A 26,871-nucleotide genomic window follows, 5' to 3' on the forward strand; every position below is an offset into this window, starting at 1 on the left:
TGAAACACATTTACTTTAAATTTGTCAGAAAGCAAAAGGTGAGGCCAGGCACGGTGGCTCATGCCTGTAATCCCAGCAGTTTGGGAGGCCGAGGTGGGAGGATCACTTGAGGTCAGGAGTTTGAGATGAGCCTGGCCAACATGGCGAAACCTCATCTCTACTAAGAATACAAAAAATTAGCCAGGCACACAATGGTGTGCACCTGTGGTCTCAGCTACTCAGGAGGCTGAGGCAAGAGAATCACTTGAACCCTGGAGGTGGAGGTTGCAGCAAGCTGAGATCGCGCCATTGCACTCCAGCCTAGGCAACAGAGCGAGACTCTGTCTCAAAAAAAAAAAAAAAAGAAAAGAAAGCAAAAGGTGGCATGATTCCTCTCTTCATCTGCATCAGGACAACCTTAAATCAGCAGTTGTTAAAGAGAAGTCTGTGTACCTATGGTCCCTAAGATCTTTCATGAAGTTAGTCAAGTCAAACCTATTTTTATAATAATACTAAGATGTTCTCTGCTTTTTTCACTATGTTCACATTTATGCTGATGGTGCAAAAGAGATGCTGAGTAAAACTGCAAAAAGCCTACCACAAACTAAGGTATTCCTAAGGAACTAGACACTTCATAGGCTTCACAACCACACCCTCACAGTAAAAACAAACACATTTGTTTTCAATGCTTCACCTGAATTACAATAATTGCTGCAAGTATAAGCACTTAAGTGATTGTTTTATAGCTAGCTGAAATAACCACTTTTAAAATATAACATCGTTTTATTTGAAACAGTGTCTGACAGACAAACTACAGTTATTTAACCTTGGGTGTCTGGCTGATATTTTCTTGTAAATGAACCAACGCTGGGAAACAACTGACAGTAATTGTTACCAATGATAAAATTCATATTTTCCAGCAAAAAAAAAAAAAAAAAACACACAGAATTTTGGAAAACTTGTATCTGTCACCATGCATTTGACAGCTTCCCAATTCATAAAGATTTCTAATGAGCTTTTTGGTAATATTAACCAAAGTGATGTTTTACAATGAAATGTGTTAATATTTTTAAGTTCTTGCATAACTCAGCAAATTGATATTTTTTGATATTTTTTGATAGCCAATGCATGAAGCTACAAAATTAAGTTTGAATAAAGATCTACTCAAAGCACAAAATAAACACATGGATTTACTATAACAGAGTATGAAAAGTATACTGATATGGTATCAGGTTCCTCATTGCAATTAATCCTTAGGAAACTATCACTTAACAAATTTCGGTAGAGGAATATCTATAATTACCTGAAAAGACTCTTAAACACTCTTCCCTTTTCTAATTACATCTTTGTATGAGACCAGATTTTCTTCATATACTTCAATCAAGAAGCATATTGTAACATATTGAGTACGGAAGTAGATAGGAGAATATAGCTGCCTTCTATGAAACCAGACATTAAAGAGATTTGCAAACATGTAAGACAATGGCACTCTTCTCACCAAATTTTGTTTTGCTTTGGAAAACAGAGTTATTTTTCATAATAGATATGATATTTACGTTAACATCTACTGGATTCGTTATCTTGAAATGAATAGCTAAACAAATATTTTTAAGTGTCTTATCTCTTAATACAGCACATTTTAATAGACTAAATCTAAGTATAATCCTCATAATCAAAAGTTTCCAGGTGTTCTAAATAGAAGAATGTAAAGGGTTCCAAGATTAAACAGTTTGGAAACCACTGCCTTAAAGCATTCCTTGGCCTCCAACCAGTTTGGATCAGACCCCTACCAGTGAAAAAATTCTGTGTACCAACCTCCAGTAAAAGAATAACAATTTTAAAATTAAATACTTGTACTACTGACCATTCACAGCATCAGTATTAGTAAGGCATAGTTGTTTCCCTTTCTTTAAATGGTAAAAACTAAATATATTTACATGTTGTAACATTTCTTTTCCACACTTTACCTTCCATTTCACACACTGGAGACACAACTTCAGAGGCCTCTTTCCCCTCACCTCCTCTCATCAAACCAGACATCAAGCTCTTTATCACACCCACGGCCTAAATTATCAACCTCACTCTCTCTCTGCACTAACACTGCCTCAGTTCACCTCCTCATCTTTTTTTTTTAATCTCATCTAAAGCCTCCTAATAGCTGTCTCAGCCTTCAGTACTTTTCCCACCAATCTGTCTTCTAAACTGTTGTCATATAGTTCTCATCATGTCATACTACTGCAATAAAGACCTCATTAAACTGTTAGCATCTGGCCTCTGTTACATACCATGCTTTGACATATTTGCAACTCCTCACACCATCTGTGCATTCCTTAACAAACACGTATAAAAAGACTGCTGTTTATCCATTCTATCTTGCGCCTCTGAGTACTTAGGCTACTGAAATGTCCTCCTCACACCATCCCCACTCCCCTTCCAACCGTATCCACTTGAACCACTTCCTGCCTGTTTTTCAAGACTTAGCGCAAGCATAAATTAAGCATGAAGCCTCCACCCTCTCTCCCCAGCACACACACATACATTGGCTTCCTTTCATCATTGCACTTATTGTGCTGTGCTACAAGTTATATATTTTCAAGTCTATTCCTCCAACTAGACAATTGGTTGTGCGACTTTGGCAAAGTCATTTAAACTCTCTAATTCCTAGTTTATTTATCTGTAAAACAATCTTGTAAGATAGTTGTAAAAATTAAGAGACATAAAAAATGTAAATATGTAGTTTCTGTCCCTATGCTATCATGAGTACAAAAAAAATCCATTATATTGGTATACTTTTTTCATTTTTCACCTGAGTATTATGGCATTATGTAGATACTGCCTCAGACTACATTAAAAAATCATAGTACCTTATTACACCTGCATATCCATGACAGTTAAAAATTATCTTCAATTATATAACAATTTTGAAAGGGGGGGCTTATAAATCTCTATTTCTACTAAAGCAAATATACAGGAAATGCTCTTTATCTCATTTGGCAGAATTACAGTAAGAGAATCAGACTGTCTACAAACATGTTCTTTTCCCTCCCCACTCTCAGTGGACTACGCAGGTATTACCAAAGAAAGGGCAGTGGTGGGAGGTGAGGGGAAGAAAATGGAATTCTTCCAAAAATCAGGAAGGGAATAATAAGAAAACCATAATCAGCTAGCTAAATAACAATATATTCTAAAGAAAAGAGAATACAAGGAATTGGTTTTGAGTTGTGCTTTTCAGAAAAGCAAAGAGAAATTATTAGAAAGAGGCTTGAGCAAATCATTACAGGCACATTCCCTGCACCACCACCTCCTACCCACCTAATTTTCATCTCTCACTGTATTGCCTTTTGCCTGATTTAGAAAATTTATTGAGAAAACAGGAGACTCAATTCCCAGATTTGGCTGTGTGGCTTACAATCACTTGCCAATACATAAAGATTTCTAATGAGCTTGTTGGCAGTATTAACCAAAGTGATGTTTTACAATGAAATGTGTTAACATTTTTAAGTTCTTGCATAACTCAGCAAACCAATATTTTTCAAATAGAGAATGCATGATGCTACAAAATCAGGTTTGAATGAAGATCTATTTAAAGTACAGAATAAACAGAGGCCAGGTACAGTGGCTCACGCCTATAATCCCAGCACTTTGGGAGCCCAAGACCACGGATCACCTGAGGTCAGGAGCTCAAGACCAGCCTGGCCAACATGGCAAAACCCTATCTCCACTAAAAATACAAAAATGAGTCAAGCGTGGTGGCTTGCTCCTGTAGTCCCAGCTTACTCGGGAGGCTGAGGCAGGAGAATCGCTTGAACCCATGAGGCGGAGGTTGCAGTGAGACTCCGTCTCGAAAGAAAAAAAAAAAAGTACAGAATAAACAAATGGATTTACCGTAACAGAGTACAAATCTATACTGATATGGTATCAAGTTCCTCATTGCAATTAATCCTGCAATCTGACAAGTTGGTACAGGTTTTCATTTGAGCTACAAAAACCTAACAAAACAACATCATGTTTTCAAATTGTTAGTTTTGGAAAAAAATCAATTAAATGGTAAAACAGAATTATATCATTTAACACACTTTAGTATTCTTTTGACATTTTAGCTTGTAATATCCCATATAACTTTAATTTCTTTTCTTGTATTTTTAAACCTCTTACACAAATATTTCTGATTCAATAGAGCTTCTTCAGTAGCCAAAAACTACTGCTGTATGGGTCAGAAAGGAATTTAAGGAGAAAGGAACAAATATGTATTAAACATCTCTGTATGCCTCTTTATAAACATTATCTCATGAATAGTCACAATACCTCCATGAACTCATATCAGTGCCATTTTATAAAAAATAAAAAAGGAAGCTCAGAGAGGCTGAATAATTTTTCAGGTCATAAAACAAATGATAATGGTTTATGCTAGCTAGCATTCATTGCACTATGTCACCCATCTTCACAAACTCCTATAAGACGGGTGCTATTATGATGCTCAGTTTACAAATGAGAACACAGAAGTTACAAAACATGTTTACAGTCACACAGCTGGCAAGTGGATAAAAGAAGGTTAACCCACATGGTCTAACCCCAGAGCCTGCCTGCTAGTCAGTGTCTGATCTTTCCCTTGGTCACACTGTCTAGCTAAAGAGGCCATCTAGCTCATTCCAGACAAATGAAAGTCCTTAGGATATGATTCTGCACAGAATTGCATCTTACAAATGTTACCATTAGACTGAACCGTTCTTATTTTTCTAAAGAGCTCATGATACAGGAATGAGATTTTAGACTGTGTAATAATTTCCTGTCACTTTTTTTTTCAATTTGATACTCTACTTCAAATGGTAACAGAATGAAAGTGCCAGTGTTCATTATTATCCCATTTATTTATCCCACAAACATTCCATGAGCCCTATACTATGAGCCTACTGATGAAATAAAACTGTGAAGAAATCAACCATGGTGGTAAATATTAATAATTTGCCAGCAAGCAGTAACTCACAGGTCCCCAATAATTACGGTGGTGAGAGATATTTTTATTAATTGAAATCTAACTCAACTCTTTATTTTATTGTTATCTTGCTTGACATCATTTAGTCCTCACAAGACCCATACGAGGTAGGTTTCTTAGCCTGCCTTCACAGATGAGGGAGGGTACAGTCATTTGTGGAGATGAAGGAGCTTGCTCAAACTCACAGAACCTGTGTCTGCTGACCTGAAGTCCAGTGCTCTCTCCATGAGCTGACAGTTTCCTCTCAGTCACTGAGAATCAGAACCTATTGCCAAATCAGAGCTATGTACATCCTCAGACCTGAGCCTGTTTTCTGACCCAGAATCCACTAAATGAAGGAAAGGCCAGGACTCTAGGAGGAAGGACACTGCAACAAACATGATGACAAGTTGGTATATATGGAATGATAACGTGAGTCTTTCCCCAGAGAGAACTATGCCATCTATTTAAGTAACTGTACACTGAGGAAAGTGAAATACATTTTGAACATTGTTGTTAGAGACACGAAGAGTTTGCATGGCTTCCCCTTAGAGTGGGCTTACATGGGCACGTAATATATGGGATTATGCCCCAACTGCCCAGCCAATGGTCCTTTCCCCAGTCCCTGATATTTAATTATAGCACATATACACAACAGCTGATAGAACTCCCTACATTGTTCTTTGGTCCCTTGGACAAAGCAATAAGAGGTATCATTCCCTACAACGCCATCATAGTGAGGAAAACCAAGTGAAAGCCCTGTAACTCCACCATCAGCGACAATAGCCATAAGTGTAAGCCTAAGCCAATATCAAATCCCATATAAATGGACTACTGAGTGTCAGACTGAGCATCTCTAAGTATCAAACGAAGTCTCCTAGCTTTGCTAATTTAGTTAGTAATATTTTTACTTCTCTGAGCTTCACTTTCCCTCTCTGTAAAATGGGTTCTTGTGAAGAGGAAATGAGATCATATAAAGCATTTAGCACAGTCCCTAGCATATGATAAGTACACAGTGAATATTAGTTGCTACATTTTCTATTATTTATTATTGGAGAAATATTTCCAGGCAGAAAAAAGGAATATTGGTAGTCAATAAAATTAGCTCCTTTCAGGCATTAAGAAGAAACTTGAAAGCTGGAGGCCATCTTTTTCTAAGTCCCTACCAACAGTCCCTAGAAATACCAAGTTTGGTGATTTTTAACACTGAACCCAATTAGTGTAATGACATGACAAGGATATCTTCCCAAATTTTCAGTACTCTAAGGCCCTGCGCCTCCTATGCTTTCCTCCCCTGTAACCAGCATCATCCCACCACTCAGCTTTCTTCACTCATGTCTTATCTCTAAAAAAAATAGTAATACATGCTTTCAAATCTACTTTTTACTTGTGCTGTGGCTTTTCACTTGGGTTCACAGCAACAGATGCTATGGAATGCAAACAGCTGTTTGTGAACACAAACAGCTTCAAAGAATCATGCTTGACTGCCCAATAGGAAAAGGGCCACTTCATAATTTAGTGAGAAGTGACAGATGTCAATAACATCCAAGTTTTATGTTCCCCTCTCACTTTTCCCATATGTGCTATAGAGAGACAAGGGCTGAGATGAAAAACTTCCCTGTGCCTTGCAAGGAGACAGAGTATGGATTGTTTGTTCTTTCAAACATTTTGATTCACTGGGCAGGTTTTTTTCACTAAAGCAACAGTTTTTGGAGAAGTGGTTATTGAAAGTAAATTATTAGTGAGCATTTTCACTCCTTTACATTAACTGGATCATAAACCTGGCACTGGTGAAATGATGTGTATCTCTTGAAGGTTAGGAAAGTCATAGTGACGAGGTTCCTTACCTACAACAATGCCATAGGAAAAAAACAGAAAGTAGATATTGGGAGCAAAACTGCTCAACATCAGGCCTCCAGCCACCATGAAGCCACTGAAGATTGTGACAGGTCTTGCTCCAAAAGATGAGACACAGAGACTGCAGACAGGACCTAAAAAAAGAAATGAAACCTTCACTTATTATCATATGATCCATCCATCATAAGTTCAAAATGATTCTTTCCACCATAAAACAACAAAAATAAAATGCACTGAGTATTTATGATATGCAGACACTATATGAGGCAGTTCACATGAACAATCTCATCTCATTTTAATCTTACTGCAGCCCTGGGAGGTGTATACTATTGTTAGTCCCATTCTTTTTGATAATGAAATTAAAGGATGATATTATCACATAGGTAAAATGGAGGTTCTGGAGTCAGATTTTATTCAAATTCTAGCCCTACTACTTGGTAGCTATTCGGTCTTGGGCAACTTATTTGATCATTCTGTGCCTTAGTTTCCTCATCTGAAAATGGGAATTATAATAGTACCCACCTGACCGTGTTACTGTGCCCTGTTGACTGAGAGGCAAAAGTGACCATCACCTGGAATTGTTCTACATGTAAGTGGGCAACAGCTCATGTAACAGAATTTAAGTGATAGTGAAATTCTTTCCTACTAGGACTGTACTCAGAAGTACAGAACTTAATGTACTAGAAATAAAAGGACGTTAAGGGTTATTTAGCCCAACAGTCTCATTTAACATGGAAGGAAACTGAAGCTCAAATAAGCTGTTCAAGTCAATGGTAGAAGAAAGACCAAGGATTTGAAAGCAAAGAGAAGTATATCTGAATTGAGTTGACAACCTTTCAAGTTGATCTCCAATTTTCAAAAACCACACCTACCAGAATGGCTAAAGACAGACAATACTGTTAGCAAGAAAGCGGTAGGAACAGAATTCTCACACACTGCTGGCAGTGTTTACTAAAGCCGAACACAGCACGCTGTAAAACCCAGAAGTTTCAATTCTATGTGGAATTCAATTCCACATAAACACCTAGAGTTATATACATAATTATATGGCAGTGAAAATGATCTACAACTACACACATTAAGGGTGTATCACACAAACACAATGTAAATGAAAGACACAATGTAAATGAAAGACACCCAACATAAAAAGTACAACCCATATACTTTCAATTATAAAAACTACAGAAACAAGCAAAACTAATCTGTGTTAGAAGTCAGGATACTGGCTATCTTTAGTAGGGGCTGGGGAGTTATAATCAGAAGAGCGCAAAGCCAAACTTGCGGGGTATTGCTCATGTTCTTGTTCTTGGCATGAATGTAATGATTATATGAGTGTATTCAGTTCATGAGCATTCATCAAGCTATACTGTCATGATACATACACTTTTCTGTATGTATGTGTCTTTTACCACTTTTTGAAGCAACCTCAGAGAAACAATGGAATCCATCATGGTCTCACTGTTTGTAAATGACAGAGGTAGGTTCCAATAACCCATGCACTATGCTCTTACATTCTTCCCAATACCAGAGAACTTCTTATACACATATTTAAGACCAGTTTATGGCCCCTGAGATACACTGAGATCATAGCTCCTGGTGCTTAAGGCTCTCCCACATTCCTTCCTGGCCATAAATTGGACCCTCCCATTTTCAGGCCCTCTTGTGTGAGTCAGCGCAGAAGAGGAGACTGATACATTTGCATGACAAATAGAGGGAAATATTCTGTGCCAGTATTTTAAAAGGAAAATCCATTTGAAAGACCAAATTTATCATCCAATAGTTGGGCTGTCTGTACACCCAATGAGAAATACTTAGATACTTCAAAAATAGAAACAGTTTTAAGAGTCTAATTTTACAAATGAATGTCTGACAGCATAAGGCATGACCCTTCTCTGTTGTTACCAAACTACATTGACATTGAGTTTCAGTGTTCACAAATTTTACAACACATTGGAATTGAAACACACAGAGATTATTCCTGGCATACTTGAAAAGTTTCAAGTTTCATCCTCAAAATAGGACTTTATGCTCTTTAATGCATGCTAATTCCATGAGGAAGCCTCAGAGCCTGGGAGTGTGGGGGCAAGATGGAGGAGTAATAATTTTCATAACATGTACAACCAAAGCCACTGCTGTATGAAATATACAGCATTGTTATCAACTATGTGATAAATTCTTAAGTCACTTTTTTTGCCTAACAAATGATTTTTTTTGAAGAACAATTTAAGCATTAGGAAAAAATGAACAGAAATTCTCTTACAGTGGAAACAGCAAATGGAAACAGGGTTTAAAATTCTCTACTTTCACATTGCCATCTGCTGCTGATTTAGAGAAATATATCATTAGGTCAGAGATTAAAGACAAAAAATTTTAGAGCTGAAATTTTGGAAGTTGAAAACGGTCTAAACACCTCAATTTAAAAATGGTGAAACTGGAACTCAGAAAGATCATGTGATTTGACCAAGAGTCCATAGCTAGCCAATGACAGGTCTAAGGCCAAAGTCAGACCAGCATTCTCCCTGATTGAGAAATAGTTCAATTGGGATCTTAATTTTTTCCTAGAAATCAAATTACTAGTAAAGAACATCAAGGTACTGTTAGAGTAGGTAGTTAGGCAGACATGAGCAGGGCAGGAGAGCCCTCGCCTCACCCAGGAATTTCCAGTAACCATCAGGTGATGGTCAGATGTTTATTAAACTGTTTTTCTGAAATGATAATTGGCCACAGCCAACACCAGGGGAAGAGAGTCTCCCAGTAGACAGAAAACACCTGGAGCTGGTGATCAGCAGCTTCCCAATAAGATCTCAGGAGTTGGACAAGTGGACTCTGGCATGCTCACTAAGAGGCAAAATGGTGGATGTACGACCTTCCTCTGGGGGCATTTGACTGGTAAAGGAAAACTGCCCCTACGGAGCATGAGCACAGCCTCAGTAAACACACTATGCACGTGGTCACCCTCCCAAATGACCAACACTGCCTATGCAGCAGTTGAGCAACAGCCAACCATAAGGAAAGAATCAAGAGAGAAGGAAAAACCCCAGAACCATGCCAACTTGTAAAACCCCAAGTCAAGGACTGAATGGGGCACCTGAATCTCTCAAGTTGCCCACATGGCCCTCTTCCAAGTGTAAATACTTCCTTTCACTCCTGCTCTAAAATTTTTTAATAAACTCTCACTCCGGCTCTAAAACTTGCCTTGGTCTCTTTCTCTGCTTTAAACCCACTTCTGCCCCCTGGCGGAATTCTTTCCTCCAAGGAAGCAAGGATCAAGTCTGATGCAGACCTGTATGGATTCACCACTGGTAATGGTACTTTTGTTAATGTCTTATAGATAACATAGCTTTATGAACTTATGTTAGATGAAAACATAAAATTTATAATCACTTGGTGTTCAATAGTTTAGAGCAAAATTATTTTACCCTTATCCTTAGAACCTGGGTTTATTTATAGATTCTATTCACATAGATTTAAAACACAATAGCCTCATATTTCAGCAATAACAAGACAAAATGTATCAAAGTGACCATCAAGTCACATCTGCAAAATGTGATATATTTATGTATTTAGCTCTTTGTAGTAACTGTGCAAGGCCTCAAGATGATAAACCATCTATTATTCCTCAGCACTGGATGAGTTTCAAGAGACAGATTAAATCAAAGGGCTACTTTCAGGAGATTTCTTACAATGCAAAGTGAAAACTCTGCAGAAGGGAACTTTGGAACAAAAGTTAGTTTACCTGTGACATGAACCAGTGATTCCACACCTTTGAACCTGAACAATTTTAGGGAAAAAAGGGGGGGAAAAAGGGGCAAGGGTTCCTAATGTTTTATTTTCACAAGATACTTTAAAAATATAATAACTGGCCAGGCATGGTGGCTCAAGCCTGTAATCCCAGCACTTTGTGAGGCCAAGGCAGGTGGAACACCTGAGGTCAGGAGTTCAAGACCAGGTTGGCCAACATGGCGAAACCCTGCCTCTACTAAAAATACAAAAATTAGCCAGGTGTGATGACACATGCCTGTAATCCCAGCTACTCGGTAGGCTGAGGCAGGAGAATTGCATGAACCGGGAAGGTGGAGGTTGCAGTGAGCTGGGATCACGCCACTGTGCTCCAGCCTGGGCAATGAGCAAAACTCTTGTCTCAAAAAAAAAAAAAAAAAAAGTAATAACCATCTATTATTACTACTGCTTAATTAGAGAAGAAGAAATGTTTAAATAAGCTAATAGTGAGAAGGATGTAATTTTGGAATAAAATGCAAGACAGTAAGAAGATAATAGGAACTTCACACACACACACACACTCATACATTTCCTCTATCATTGCCTTTATATTCATTTTGCCTTTGGTGAAAGTTTTTCCCGAACTTACCACTGCCTGCATATTAGTGTTCAAGAGCCAATATTATTGTTGTCAGTATTGGTGTTTAGAAGCCACTATTGCCTCAGCCTCCCAAGTTACCACCACTCCTGGCTAATTAAAAAAAAAAAAATTATAGAGACAGGGTCTCATTATGTTGCCCAGACTGGTCTTAAACTCCTGGTCTCAAGTGATCCTCCTGCCTCAGCCTCCCAAAGCTCTAAGTATTATAGGCATGAGCCACTACACCCAGCGCAGTGTGTATTTATTATACCTATAGCTCATCTAAACTGGAATAAGCCACATTTCAGGTGCCCAGTAGCCACATGTGCCCACCCTACTGGACAGCACAGTACTAGAATCTCATATCATGTTAGAAAAGGACACAGAGAAATCAAACACAATCCAGGACTCAGACAAGAGGCAAAACAAACTCGCATCAAGGTTTAAAATAAAACCCAAGGCCAAAAGCACCAAAAGAAAGGTTCAGACGGCTTGTTTGGGGATTTCATAAGAGGAAGAAAAACCAAGGCCACAGAACTAAGCCTTGAACTAGGCTGCGAAGTATGGTTATGTCAACAAAAGGGATGAACATCTATTCTAAATGGAGGGAACAGAAACATAACGTGATTTTTCAGTTTTTAATTTATTATAGGATAGTTTTGGGAATGAAATTATTCCCTTTAGGAAATAAACTCAACCTCCACGCACTTTTTTTTTTAAGTTTAGCTACTTTTATTATTATTTTTTTAATTTATTATTATTATACTTTAAGTTTTAGGGTACATGTGCACAATGTGCAGGTTAGTTACATATGTATACATGTGCCATGCTGGTGCGCTGCACCCACTAACTCGCCCTCTAGCATTAGGTATATCTCCCAATGCTATCCCTCCCCCCTCCCCCCACCCCACAACAGTCCCCAGAGTGTGATGTTCCCCTTCCTGTGTCACACTTCTTTTTCCTAAAAAGTTTCAGAGAGTCCCAGGAGTAGAAGGATGGCCAGGTCTGCTGCAGTGAATACATAAGTTGGCTGATGCTACAGTGAGAAACAGAATATAGTAGTAACCAGGTTATGGACCTGCCATGCAGCAAGGATTTCCTAACAGAGTGGATCAGTTGGGCCTGTGAAGGTCCTACCTTTCCATCTAAAATTCAGGGAGCCCAAGGTGTGAGCTCCTCCAAATTGCAGGTTCCTCAATCCTTGCTCCAGCAAAGACTGTAAATCTCAAGTTCATCTCCTTGAGAAAGAAAAAGGCACTAAGGAGCCACACCCACTCAAATTGTTGATCTCATATACCCTGACTGCCTTTCATTTTAGTGGGTTTGGTGGTATTTAGAGATGGCAGAAAGCTTAACCAAAACCTGGTCTTTATTCCTACCAATCTTTTTTTTTTCTTTTTCTTTTTCTTTTTTTTGAGACGGAGTCTCGCTCTGTCGCCCAGGCCGGACTGCGGACTGCAGTGGCGCAATCTCGGCTCACTGCAAGCTCCGCTTCCCGGGTTCACGCCATTCTCCTGCCTCAGCCTCCCGAGTAGCTGGGACTACAGGCGCCCGCCACCGCGCCCGGCTAATTTTTTGTATTTTTAGTAGAGACGGGTTTTCACCTTGTTAGCCAGGATGGTCTCGATCTCCTGACCTCATGATCCACCCGCCTCGGCCTCCCAAAGTGCTGGGATTACAGGCGTGAGCCACCGCGCCCGGCCACCAATCTTAAAACTGCCTAGCACACTGGGAACCTGCCAATGCAACAGAATCCTTGAGAGAAGCAGGAATTCAGTACTCCTTGAAGGAGTTAACAGTGCTTAGGGGTAATGCCCAAACCCAGCTCTGCCAGCACTCATAACTCATTCAGCAAGTGGGCCTGGCCATACTGACTCATTATATTAACATGGTGATGCGTTTACTGACTCGTATTATGAGTTTGAACACCTTTGGAGGAAGTGAAGACAAAAGGGAGAGGGCAAGGACTCTCAAATCTGCTTTGAGTACAAAACTGCAGACTAGATCTCCGTGCTATTTCCTGCTGTTTCAGCACTTGGGTAGTGTGAGAAACAGAACCACCGTTTCCTTGAATTTGGAGAACAATATCTAGCCAAAGGGTGTGTTAGCTCATCTTAAAACAATGCAAGGCCATGATAGCTCTCTAGTTCAGTTACCTTCCATTCTTCCCATATCAGTCAAGTTTCAACCAGAAAAACAAAACCAGTAGGAAGCATATATTAAGACATTTGTTGCAAGGAATTGGCTTACACGTTTGAAACAACCATACTAGGCAGCCAGACAATACCTGCCTAGCTAACCAAGTCAAAAATTTGCAGAGGAGGCCATTAGGAAGGGCATGTTGGAACTCTCAGGGATAGGCTGCAGCTACAATTACAAGCAGAATTTCTTCTTTTGGGAAAGCTCATTTCTGCTCTTAAAGCCTTTCAACAATTGAGCCAAATCCATCTAGATTTTCTAGGATAAGCTACCTTATTTAAAGTTAAGTGACTATGCACTTTATTCACATCTACAAAATAACTTCCCAGCAACACCTAGATTGGTGTTTGAACAACTGGAGAATGTAACCTAGCCAAGTTGAAACATAAAACTGACCGTCACACCTCCCAACACAATCCCTCCTTTCCAGCCAAATTTACTCCATGAGAACACAGCCTCTGCAGTACCAAATCCAGGCCTCTGCATAAAGGTAATTTGCATGGACTTCCCTCTCCCTGTCTATCTGCCTATGAAAGTCCATCTTCCTATCTGGCCCATCTCAATAGCTTCCTCAAAGGCTATCCCTCTAAAACCTCAGAGATTGTTTTGCCATTGCTATTCTCCTTGATATTTGTGAATTCTCAAATTATTAGTTACCTTTTTTTTCTGTCTCTTCCCTGAGACTACAAACCTTTTAGAAACATGGATGGTGTTTTCTATATTGGCATCCCTAGCTCAGAGACCCTAGGAATATATGTAATGAGGATGAGCTCATTCACAATGTATAACCCAGGAGGGTAGGATCCTTCCTACCCAGCTTTATTCATCCCAGGGATTATCTGGACAAACAAAGAATTCAAGCAAGGGGAAGAAGTATTTTCTTCTCAATTATTTAAGTCTCAAGGAAAAGGAATTAGGAATTAAGATTATAAAGAGTATAAAGTCCAGAATTTCATGTCTTTTCACAGTTGTAATATGCTATTATGAGCTACTGTCCAAATCTAGGTTTGCCAAAGCCCAGGAGTAGGACTTTATGTTTCACATGCTTAGGCACAATCTTGGCAAGGTTCCAGCTCCCTCTGCCACCCATCCTTCCAAGAACTGTCTTCATCTTTCATCCTGAATGGTCCCTTTCTTTTGCAGGTTTTACAGACAATTTACTTTTCATAATTTACACGGCATGAGTAGTGCCACACACAAGAAGAAATCTACAATAGTTCTCTTTATTTTAAAAATGTCAAAGCAAATCATATATCAGAGAGTTATCAAAAAGTGAAAGATTAAAATTTAAATATAGAGGGCTTAAGCCAGTGGTAGTTCCTAACTAAAAATCACTTTGGGGACTTTAAAAAATTCATGAGGCCAGGCACAGTAGCTTATGCCTGTAATCCCAACACTTTGGGAGGCTGAGGCAGGAGAATCCCTTGAGCCCAGGAGTTTGAGACCAGCCTGGGCCACATGGTGAGACCTTGTTTCTACAAAAAATAAGAAAAAAATAGTTGGGCATGGTGGCATGCACCTGTAGTCCCAGCTACTCAAGAGGCTGAGTTGGGAGGATCACTTGAACCCGGGAGGTCGAGGTTGCAGTGAGCCAATATAGCACCACTGCACTCCAGCATGGGTGACAGAGCAAGACCCAATCTCAAATAATAATAATAATAACAATAATAATTCATGAATCTAGGCCCCATCATGGACCAAATGAATTAGACTGTCTGCGTGTCAAATCCACGCAATTATATGCTGAAATGGTCCCATAGATGATCCTAATTATCTCCCTGGCTAAGAACCACTGATAACCATTTGAGTCACCAACATGAAAATACTTATTCCACTTCCAAGGTACTAATGATCCACTTGTTTCTCTGTAGAGCAAAGTTGTCATAAAGCTGATGGTCAGTGTGACTTGCACACTGCCAGACACTGCTTGCTAATACTATATAAACACTGTTTCAGGGTTTGCATCTTAATTTATGCTATGAGGAACCCAAAGAGGATAACATCAAATACAATATGTTCAATGGAGCCAGCTATGCTGAAACTTGTACACAATATCTAAAGTATATATATATGTATATGTATATGTATATGTATATGATGTATATGTATATGTGTATGTGTATGTGTATGTATATGTATATGTATATGTATATGTATATGTATATGTATATGATGTATATGTATATGTGTATGTGTATGTGTATGTATATGTATATGTATATGATGTATATGTATATGTGTATGTGTATGTATATGTATATGTATATGTATATGTATATGTATATGATGTATATGTATATGTGTATGTGTATGTATATGTATATGATGTATATGTATATGTATATGTATATGTATATATATATGTATATGTATATGTATATGATGTATATGTATATGTATATGATGTATATGTATATGTATATGATGTATATGTATATGTATATGATGTATATGTATATGTATATGTATATGTATATATGATGTATATGTATATGTATATGATGTATATGTATATGTATATGTATATGTATATGTATATGTATATATACACACACGCAGGCGTAAGTTGTAGCTATTTAGCCATCCTTTTTTTTTCCCCACCACTTTTCATTCTTGAATTATTTGCCCTCATTTTTCTATGCTCATCTTTAAAAGCTTTGCTCACCAGGTGCAACTGCTTCCTCATCTAGCTAAAGGCAGTGGACCTAGAGAGGTTAAGTGACTTGCATAAGGTCACTCAGCTCAATGGTGGTAGAGCCAGGACTTGAATTAGCTTCTGACTCCACCCTCAAGCTCCTTCAAGTACTTGTTGTCTCCCAGAATTTTGATAAGATGCCCTAACTCTCTGGTCCCTACAAGCAGGGCTGGCTTGTTGGATTTGTGACTATGCAAGTTGCACAGGGCCCAGTGTTTAGAAGGATCCCACACTTGGTTTAGTGCTCTGCTGTCACTAAATTCTGTCACTAAATTTGCTCTGCTGTCACTAAATTTGCACTGGGGCCTGCAAATTATGTAGCCAGTTCTGCCTAAGAGTAAAGAGGGCTGCTCCTGGCTCTTGAGATGAGTTATCATCCACCTAGAAACTTGGAAAACGTGTAGAGCTGCAGTTGAATTGTCAAAAACAGTCAGCTTCAGCTCTGACCACCAATGCCCATCCTTAAGGAGATCTCCGCTTTCCTCAGCCCTCTACTCCAACCTGGACAGACTTGTGAAAAGAAGCTTCATTCTTCAAGTATGTGCTAATTGAGTCAGCATTTTAATTATCCTTTGACCCTTGCTGGAAGCCAAAGTAATTACATTTCTGTTTAACTTAGTATTTGCTAATAGAAATGGTGACTAATTAGAGAACATTAAAAAAATTATTTCCTCCCCACTACAGGTCTTATTTTAGAAATCAATACATTCAAATCACATTATTAACATATCAGTTATCATCCACTTGTACTTTGGTGGCTTTACAAACAATCCTTATTTTGAGAAACTATGAAACAAATCTAGGGCAAACGTTCCCTGTTTCCCTTGAGCTCATAATGGCTATATTATTTTTTTTTGTTTACTTATATTTAATCATCTTATCTGACATAGCAAGATGATCCTGCATTGTTTTTTAAGCCTTTTTTTCTTGTTTATAATTTAACAAGGTAATACAACAATTGGAGGCATTGCTTTTTTTGAAAGACATCCCCTTTACAATTCAGGAGAGAAGCATATTTAAAAGAAGGAATGACTAATGCATTTTTCATGAAACCATTTTAGAGCTGAAAAATACCTTACAAATCATATTTAATGTCCTTATTTTCCCCATAAGAATAGAGATTGTGATTTGCTCAATGAATAATGGTGAGTTCATAGCACACAGGAAGAGAGCCCAGGGCTACTGACCCTATCTAGATCACCATCTGTTGTGCTTAAATAGTTCCAAATATGTTGGAATAATGGTCACTAAATATTACTGCAGAGTTCAAACTATGACTCTAGAAGTTCAAGTGGCATATGATTTTAATGGTGAAAAGGAAAATAAAAAGTCTCTACTATTCTCTCTAAAGATGACAGGAATCACTATTACATCATATGTAACTGTTCATCAAGAATATCACTTTTGGAGACACACAAAATATATCACATATGTCTTATACATAACACTATATTAAAATCCTTAATGAGGATTTTAATTTTGTGATTGGATTGGATTGGATTTTGTGAGACTCTTTGCTATGTCAGCTTTTTCTTGGGAAGTTCTCATGACCACAGGACATGTGATTTGACCACAGTGTATCTGAAACAGAGAAGAGTAATCACAAGCCATGTAGAAGCTGCCTAGAAGGCTGCTGAGAGCCATTTTGTCCTTTGGTCCTTACCAATGTACCTTGAGCATACCTGGATCACTACCTTCATCTCCCTGACTCATTCTTACTCATATATGTGTGTATCTTACAAGACTATGAGCCTCTTAAGGGCAGGAACCATGTGTTTGCTGTTTATCTTTTCATTTCCAGCATCTAGTTCAATGCCCGGCACATCGTAGAAAATAAATGAATAAAGAAATGAATGAATTGATGGTTGATTTAACATCTTAGGGAGTGCCTGCATTTTCACACTGATTTATTACAGTGAAAGTACAATCATTGCAATGAAGGCAGGAAAAGATATGTTATACTTTGAAAAGAAAGCCCTCTCTGCCTTGCACAATGTTCATGATGTAGTAAATGTAATTAAATGATTAAAGAGTAAAGAGAGGCATTAATTTATCCACTTACTTGCAAGCAAGCCAACTCCACTTGCCAGGGATCCAACCCAGGCTGTTTTTCCTTTTCCTTCACCAAAGGCATCCAGCCATTCTATGTACAGGACTCCAACAGCTAGTGGGGATCCGTAACACAAAAACTGAGTAAGGAAGGAGACAAACACAATCACCCAGCCCCATCCACCGTCAGGCGACTTTTTAAGTTCCATTGTAAGACAAAATCAGGAGGCGTTTCTCTGCAGGTCCTAAACAAAAACAAACAGAAAAGAGAATCTTATTTAGAGTGTGGTAGGGCACAGCGCTTGGGGTAAAAATATCTCCTCCTAAAGTGAAAAAAAAAAAAGGTTCTCCAAAGACATACATGGAAAAGCATAAAATATCACTGACATAGCAAGTTAACAAATACATTTGCATTTATAATTTGAATAAATGATGTAGACACATGGTACAATTTTTTTTAATTATAAAAAGGCATAAAGTGAAATATAGCCTTCTCAACCTTGTCCACCTTCACCAGATTCCCACCCTGCTCAACCACAGAGAACCACTAATTTTAGTTTCTTAGTTTTTAGTTTCTTGGGTTCCCTAGGAAGCAGATTCCTAGCAAGAAGTAGACTGATTAGGAATGCTTTCGAGTTGATGCCTATGGAAGGGCACAGATGGCAGAGGGAGAAGATCAGCTGCAGATAACCTTGCAGTTATAAAGAAGGGGATTTCTAAAGTTGGGATGACCCTTCAGAGATGTGCTGAGCTGGGTGCTGGGAGCTGCCCATCCACACTTCCATGTTGATCATGCACTGGATGTGGCTACCCAGGAATGGGTGGTGATCTGAGGTGAGGCGGCTCCCTTCAAAGGAGGCAATCTATCCCCATAAGGGCTGGCAGCATTCTCAACAGCTGGGGCAAGAACTCTGTCATTCCTGAAGGAGGCCTGGAATGGAACTGGCAGCACATCACAATGTTCACCAACTGGAGTATTTTTCCAGTTTCTTTATGCATTTATAAGCAAAACCAAGCAAATATTTTCAATGTCTCTCTTTTTCATAAAAAAGTAGTATATTATACATTACATTCCCCACCTTCCTTTGTCCACATAACATCCTGAGAGATTTTTCCCTATCAATACATAGACAGCATCCTTAGTCATTTTTATAAGTACATAGGATGTATACATATGGCTGTATGCTTGCTTATTTATTTACTCACTGAATAGGCAAAAACACTTGCATGGTTCATAATGAAAAAAAGACAAAAGATAAACAGTCCCCTGTCTACCTATTTCCCATCTAAGCCTTATCTCCTCCACAGGTAACCAATGCATCTTGTTTCTTGTATAGCCTTCTAAAGTTTCTTTATGCATACACTGGCAAACTCAAGTATAGATTTCCCTTATTTTTTACACACAAAAAAATAGCATATTATATACATTGGTATGTGCCTTGTTCTCTTTCACTTGACAAATATCTGGAAGATCTTCCACATCAATGCATACTGACCTTCCTTATTCATTTCTTACTTCTGCACTGTATTCCAGTATGGGACTTTATCTTAGTTTGTTCGACCAGTCCCTGTGGCTTTAATGGAAAACAATGTGCAGTGAAAAACCTTACATATTCATATATCTTTTTGCTTATAGGCATATTTGTTAGGTAAAATCCAAAAGAGGAATTGCTGAGTCAAAAGGAATATACATTTGTAATTGTAATTTCAGAAAATATTGAAAAAGCTGAGTTGGGAGGATCATTGAGGCCAGGTATTACCAAATTAAGTTCAAGAGCATTGAGCTAATTCATATTGTCTCCAGGATTTTGAATGTGTTGTGAAACTTTTGGATTTTTGCAAATTTCTTGGTTTTAAAATAGCATTTCATCATAGTTTCAACTTGCATTTCTTTCTTTTTTTTTTTTTTTTTTGAGATGGAGTTTTGCTCTGTCGCCCAGGCTGGAGTGCAGTGGCGCAATCTCGGCTCACTCAACTTGCATTTCTTACAGTATAAATGTCGTGTACCGTTTTGGAGATGAAAAGCCAGCTGAAATTCCTAATTCTTAGGTGTATATGGATATTCTATTCTGTTCCATTGGTCTGTCTATTCACACATCATTACCACATTTGTTTCATCACAGAATCTTTTTTATAAAAGTCCTTTTACCATATTTTAATCTCTAATGGGGCTTTTTCTGTCTTTATAATTACACTCCTTTTGAAATATTTTGTAGCTATTCATGTTTTCTGTTCTATATGAACTTCAGAATCAGCCTGTCTGGTTCAAAAAGAAATCAGATGATGCTTTCATTAGGACTGAGTTAAATTTAAAAATTGATGTAAGGAGAATTGACCTTTTATGATGTCAACTCATTCTAAGAACATAATATGTTTTGCATTTGTTCAAGTCTCCATCTATGTTCTTAGTGTTTAAAATGTTCCTCAATATTTCATTGTATTGTATTTTTATAGATTTTATCCTCGCTGCTAATATTGTAATTGGGGTCATTTATTTGTCTTCTGTTTGTATGCTTAAAAGCTATTGATGTCTGTATGTTAATTTTACATCCCACTTCCTTACAAAATTCTCCTATTTGTGGTGGATTTTCAGATGATTTTCTTGGGTATATACAATGCACAATGCAATACAGTCATATAGTCACCTACAGTTACAATTTTTTATCTCCTTATATGTCTTAAATTTTTATACTTCCAATTTCCTTTTTTATAAAATCAAATGGTAGATTTATTGGCTGTCTCTGTTACACAATGAGATGAAAACATCTTAATTCAGGACATCCTCCACCTTGCTTTGGTTTCCAGTTGTACTGCAAGACCAGTGTCAGGCACATAGGCTGATTAATCAAAGTTTCGCTCTTGCTGCCCAGGCTGGAGTGCAATGGCACAATCTCGGCCCACAGCAACCTCCGCCTCCTAGGTTCAAGCGATTCTCCTGCCTCAGCCTCCTGAATAGCTGGGATTACAGGCACCACCATGCCCAGCTAATTTTTTGTATTTTTAGTAGAGACGGGGTTTCACCATGTTGGCCAGGCTGGTCTTGAACCCCTGACCTCAGGTGTTTCACCCATCTCAGCCTCCCAAAGTGCCAGGATTACAGGCATGAGCCACCGTGCCTGGCCCCTAATTTCCTTCTTTTGTCTTTGCATTGAACAGTACATACAGAATAATACCAATTAACAAAAGTATACATTTTTGTCTTGTTCTTAACTTTAGTGGGAATGCCCTCAAATACCATGATGTTGCCTCTGGTGCTTTGTTGGATTTCTTTTACGAAGTTAAGAAAGTAATTTGCATTTTTATATTTTTGAGTGTTATTATAAATAATTGTTATTACATTTTATCAATGTATTTCCAGTGTATAGGAAGATGGTCATACAATTTTCCCTTTATAACTCTTAATATGATAAAATATATGTTTTCTACTACTGAAGCATCCATGAATTATTGGATTAAATTTCCTTGGTTCATGCATTGTTTTGACTATGTTAGTCTATTTTGGCGGAGGAATTTTTTACTTCATAGGCAAAATTTGTCTATTTTTGTTTTTGATTTCTACTAGTGTTGGTAACCAAATGGTGTTTACTTTATTTAAAGCTTTGGGCTGGGCACAGTGGCTCATGCCTGTAATGCCAGAACTTCAGGAGGCCAAGGAATGGCTTGAGCCCAGGAGTTCGAGGCCAGCCTGGGCAACATAGTGAAACTCTATCTCTACAAAAAAATACAAAAATTAGACTGGTGTGGTGGTGCAGCTGTAGTCTCAGCTGCTCAAAAGGCTGAGGTGGGAGGATGGCTTGAGTCCAGGAGTTTGAGGTTACAGTGAGCAGTAATTGCACCACTGCACTCCAGTGTGGGTGACACAGTGAGACCCTGTCTCAACAACAACAAAAAAAAAAAAAGGAAAGAAAAGAAAAGAAAAATTTTCCTTCTTTTCCTAAACAGCTTACATGGCAATGGATTTGGAGATCCAAGGCTTAACCTTCAGGTCCCCAGCAGGGCCTCCCACTTAACCTGTACCTTCCATGTCTCTTCACTATGCCAGGTTTACTGTCAGGTGCAACAGAGTCTTTGCCCACGGATTCTGCCAAACCATGCACTTGGCTGTGGTTTCAACAGATAATCTCTGAAGACAGTAGGAATATCAATTATCCATTCACACACAGCCTAATTAGATGACAAGGCATTTGGCTACCTTCAGAGAGTCATAGCTACACCCATCATTTGCCTGGGCTTCCATGGATTTATTTCTTCACTTTGATTTCAGAGCACTGGGCAGAACTCATGTCACCACGTGCATAAGTCTTTACACAAATTAACTTTCAACATTTAATGATCAAAAACAGAGAGATGTTACAATTAGTGAACAAAACTGTAGGTATAAAATCTAGACACTCAAACCATATGATTGTGTTAACAGAATTATCCAAACTTCCAAATCAGAAACTTTTGTAGTAATCAAATATGTCCCTCCATTGGAAATTTGCTCTCTCTGGTACCTACTCTATTGTAAAAGTAAACAATGCAATTCTGATCTTTCTAATGACAATTTAGTACTTTACAATTTCTGTCCAGAATCCTCTTTAAAGAAAATATTGTCTGAACTCCTCAAACTAGATAGGATATGATAGAAATAGCCAAACATCTAAAGAGACTAAGAGGTTGTGTGAAGACAAATGCATACGAGATTGTCCTTCATTCAAATGCTCCAATCACAGCACTTCAGGAAAAGTACACATTTATAGAGACAAAGCACCAGAATCATGAATAAAGCCAGTATTCCTGGGAGGTTGCGGGCAATGGGGGAGGATGAAGAGAATTATCTCCCTTACCAGTTTTCAAACCTAAGTAGACAAAAATGCCTTTCTACACCACACACCTCCGCCCTCCCTTGCATTGCCATGCCCTGCCTTCGGTGACATTTCAGGATGTAGGACAAGAGCCAAAGAAATTCTCACAGTAAATATTTAAGAGAGCAAACCTTGGAAATACAAAGTTCCCATGCACATCAACTCTGACTAGAAAGGCAAGTTTTTATAGCGATGACTAACAGCTTCTGATCTGTCATCATCTCAGAGTTTAAGATACATGTAGTGTCAATAGAACACAGTTAAAACTACCATTGAGTGATTTCCTGTATTCTGTCACTCTAGTACCCTCCTCCCGTGGCTTCCTCTATTCCCTAGGTGCCTCTCACCAGCTGTTTTTCTGATATTCTGTACTGCGTAAGGTGATTTTATGAATAGGCTAGCCTTCATTTCTCCTTTTTTGTAATGGTGCTCAACTTCCTTTTTGAGGATGTAGATCAGTCCTATGGCTAGAGGGCTTGTGGGACTGTTAATTAAGTTTCCTTGACCTTGAGCAATAAAGGGCATCTAACCCAAGAGAAGCCAGTAGGCTTTCAGGACTCTGAATCTTGATTGAAATGCCTGAATCTTGAGTGAAATGCTATATAAGGAAAGGAAAATCTGCGGAGTTTATGGATCCCCATGAAAGTGCACTGAAGAGACCTCTGTCAGTCCTACTACGTTGACCTCCTAGAGATACCGAAGCCTGGTTTCTCCAACCTTCCACGTTTGTGAGCTAACCCAGTAAATTATTTTGTTAAGTTATCGGTACTCATTTCTTTACCTGCAGCTGAATAAATATATTGTGAGTATGCAGTAATTTCAAGTTGATTATTTTAACCATCCATACCCCACTTGGTTCCATTTGGGACAAAGGTAAAGCTGAGGAATATTGTTGATGACCATAGAATATAAGAAATATAGATGTGCCATATCTATTTTTATGAAAATTTCTTATTATCCTCCCTTCTTCATATCTTATGATCTAATATGATACATTCCCTTATTTGGCACTCTTTTTCATAAAAATTCCAAATTAACTAAAACTTCCACTAAGCCCATTTATCCTAATGTTTATAGAAATGCAGCAAGATAAAAGTGGTCTTAAAAATTAGCTGGGTGTGGTGGCATGCACCTGTGGTCCCAGCTACTTGGGAGGCTGAGGCAGGAAGATAGCTTGAGCTGAGGAGGTGAGCCATAACAGTGAGCCATGATTATGCCACTGTTCTCCACCCTGGGCAACAGATCAAGATGCTGTCTCAAAAAGAAAAAAAAGAAGAAAGTGGTCTTTATTCAAAATGTTCTTGATCACTTACATTTAAGTTATATTGCACTAGCTACTAAGGGAGACCAGAAGGCATATAAGGTATGGTCCCTGACCTCAGGAACTCTTTTAACTCACTTAGGAAGGTAAGATATGTGTACATGGGAAGGTGTGTCCACGTGGAAAGGTATGTGCAAAAGAGTACGTACACGATTGGGTGCCATACAAGTGGATGGATATTAAATGTTTAGGAGTCGAAGGAAATGAAAGCACTCAAGATGGGAGCAGGAGTGGAAGGGCCTCATAAAGTAGGTTAGTTGTGAAGAACAATGAAGGGATTCATAGAAGGGCGGCCAAGGCAAGAGGAATAACATGAACATACATGTGTAATCAGGATAGGCCCGATAGGTTTGGTGGAGTTGGAGAGGGCAGTTCTTACAGGGCTCACAGAGCAAAACAAGATTAGAAAAATGGTACTCTCCATGTAAATTCAAGAAAAATGTGTTTCAAGAAGTCTGTGTTTATAACCACAAGAAATAATTGTTTCTACATATTGTAGAATTAATCATTTATATTATCTAAGTGGTGGAATTTTTTTTCCAAAAAAAAAAGGCCAGGCAGGGTGGCTCACACCTATAATCTCAGCACTCTGGGAGGCCGAAGTGGGTGGATCACCTGAGGTCAGGAGTTCCAGACCAGCCTGGCCAACATGGCAAAACCCCGTCTCTACTAAAAAATACAAAAATTATCTGGGCATGGTGGCACGCGCCTGTAATCCCAGCTACTCAGGAGGCTGAGGCTGGAGAATCGCTTGAACCCGGGAGGCAGAGGTTGCAGTGAGCTGAGATCACGCCACTGCACTCCAGCCTAGGTGACAGAGCAAGACTCCATCTCTAAATAAATAAGTAAGTAAATAAATGAATGAAACAAGATCTGTAAGTATCAGAAGGCACTATGTTATTTAGATTTATGATCCATGCATACATTCAACGTTTTGGAGTCTTATTCAAATGTATGAAAATGTGTTTCTAAGAAATAGATATTGTACTACATTCTAGTAAACTATTTGAGAATTTGGAATCTCCTTCAACCAGAGTGTTAACAAACCAGGACTCTGAGTGACCAGACACCTTATAAAACTCAAAATTAGAAACCATTTTGAGAGATCATTTGAAGAACACTAATTTAGGGGCAGTTTTTTTATACTACAGGGTTTAAAGAAGTTTCACAGAATTAATTTGAATTTGAACTTGAACTTGTAAGCATCTTTCTTAACTTTAACTTAAAAAAATTAAATACAGTACATGTATTATGAGCCTCCCTTGGAGGAGAGAGAAGAGCATGAAATAATATTAACCATAAGAAGATATCACTATTCAACAAAATTAGATTATCATTAGTAGAAAGGATAGTATATCTCCTAAAGCCAGAACCTGTTTTGTTTAAGGGGAAAGGAGAGTTGGCAAGTTCTAATCCCTTCCTTCGGGAAACGAAAAAGACTATTGATGAAAGACTACATTTCATTCACAATAAAGCTTTAAGTTCCAGCACCTTCGATTATGTTTAGTTCTGCTCAAATAATGCCAATCCTTTGTTTCTTCAACTCTTTACATTGGCTGAAAATTTCTGCTCTGGATATAGGCTGTCAGAACTGCAGGTGTGACATTTAAGAACACTGAGTATTTCTATCCCTGAAATGTATACATATGCACTATACTAATTTTTGCCAAATACAAAGTGATTTACAAGTATTTAATCTTATTTTCAGCTGACAGTTTCCTGTTGCCTTTGCTCCCTTCCCCAAAATTATCTTTCCCTAATAACCCCCATTTGAGCATTGTCTATAAACATCTCCTTAAAGATTCATAGATAGACTTTTCACTTGAAATATAAAAGGAGGTCAACAGTAGCACATTTTTATTTGAATCTCAATCACTACCGGATTGTCTGGTGCTGAAGCACTTTAAGAGCCTAGAATCCTGTGACTTTATCTTGGGAAAAAAATGGTTGATTCCAGGTTGATTTTGCCTTGATCTAGTTATCTGTGAGGTGAATCAAAAATCTAAATCATGCTGGGTTCCATGACCTTCCTACAGTTACATTTATGACACTTTAAGGCTATAAACCATGGGCGAGGAGGTGGACTGAAACCCTCACATGCTGCTGTGGCAGATGAAAAGGCTGAAGCCACTTTGGAAAAAAGTTTGAGGGGTGGAAATGGGGAATGACTGTTAAAGGGTGCAGGGCTTCTTTGTGGGATGATGAAAACATTTTAAAATTAGATTGTGGTGCAGGTAGCACAACTCTATGAACATGCTAAAAATCACTGAGCTGCACATATTAAATGGATCAGTTTTATCATGTATGAGTTATATACCTCAATAAAGCTGTTAAAATAAAACACTTCAAAAGCTACTGAAAATTATGTTTTAGCTCTGACTCCAATGTAGGTAACAAGTTTTATAAACTAAAAAGCAAACCTGTTCAGCCAGAAGCAGTTGTAATACTGATATCACTCTTTCCCTCAAACAATGACTTTTGTCCCTCCAAACATGTATCATTTATTCTATACCACCTCAGTTTGGGTGAAGGAATCCTGGGAATTGAGAAATAATTAACCAATACCTAAAAACAAACAAAAAAATGTAGGTA

At 38.3% G+C, this 26,871-nt stretch overlaps 1 protein-coding gene across 14 annotated transcripts in view; it reads right to left on the bottom strand.

Annotated features, from left to right (window-relative positions):
* Positions 1 to 26,871, bottom strand: part of SLC16A9 (solute carrier family 16 member 9) — a 59,316-nt gene that overhangs the window by 15,208 nt on the left and 17,237 nt on the right. For 6 of the 14 annotated variants that reach the window (NM_194298.3, XM_017015883.2, NM_001323981.2 and 3 more), the window contains 2 exons: positions 18,125 to 18,356; positions 6,799 to 6,942 (listed from right to left, as the gene is read on the bottom strand). In NM_194298.3, coding sequence (NP_919274.1) covers positions 6,799 to 6,942; positions 18,125 to 18,320 — 340 coding nt within the window. In that variant the 5' untranslated portion in view covers positions 18,321 to 18,356. Of the gene's footprint in view, positions 1 to 6,798; positions 6,943 to 18,124; positions 18,357 to 22,303; positions 22,798 to 26,699; positions 26,845 to 26,871 lie in introns of those variants that run through there. The other 8 variants (NM_001323977.1, NM_001323979.2, NM_001323980.2 and 5 more) reach the window with 4 other exon arrangements.

This window comes from Homo sapiens, chromosome 10, assembly GCF_000001405.40.
Source record: "Homo sapiens chromosome 10, GRCh38.p14 Primary Assembly".
NCBI lineage: Eukaryota > Metazoa > Chordata > Mammalia > Primates > Hominidae > Homo > Homo sapiens.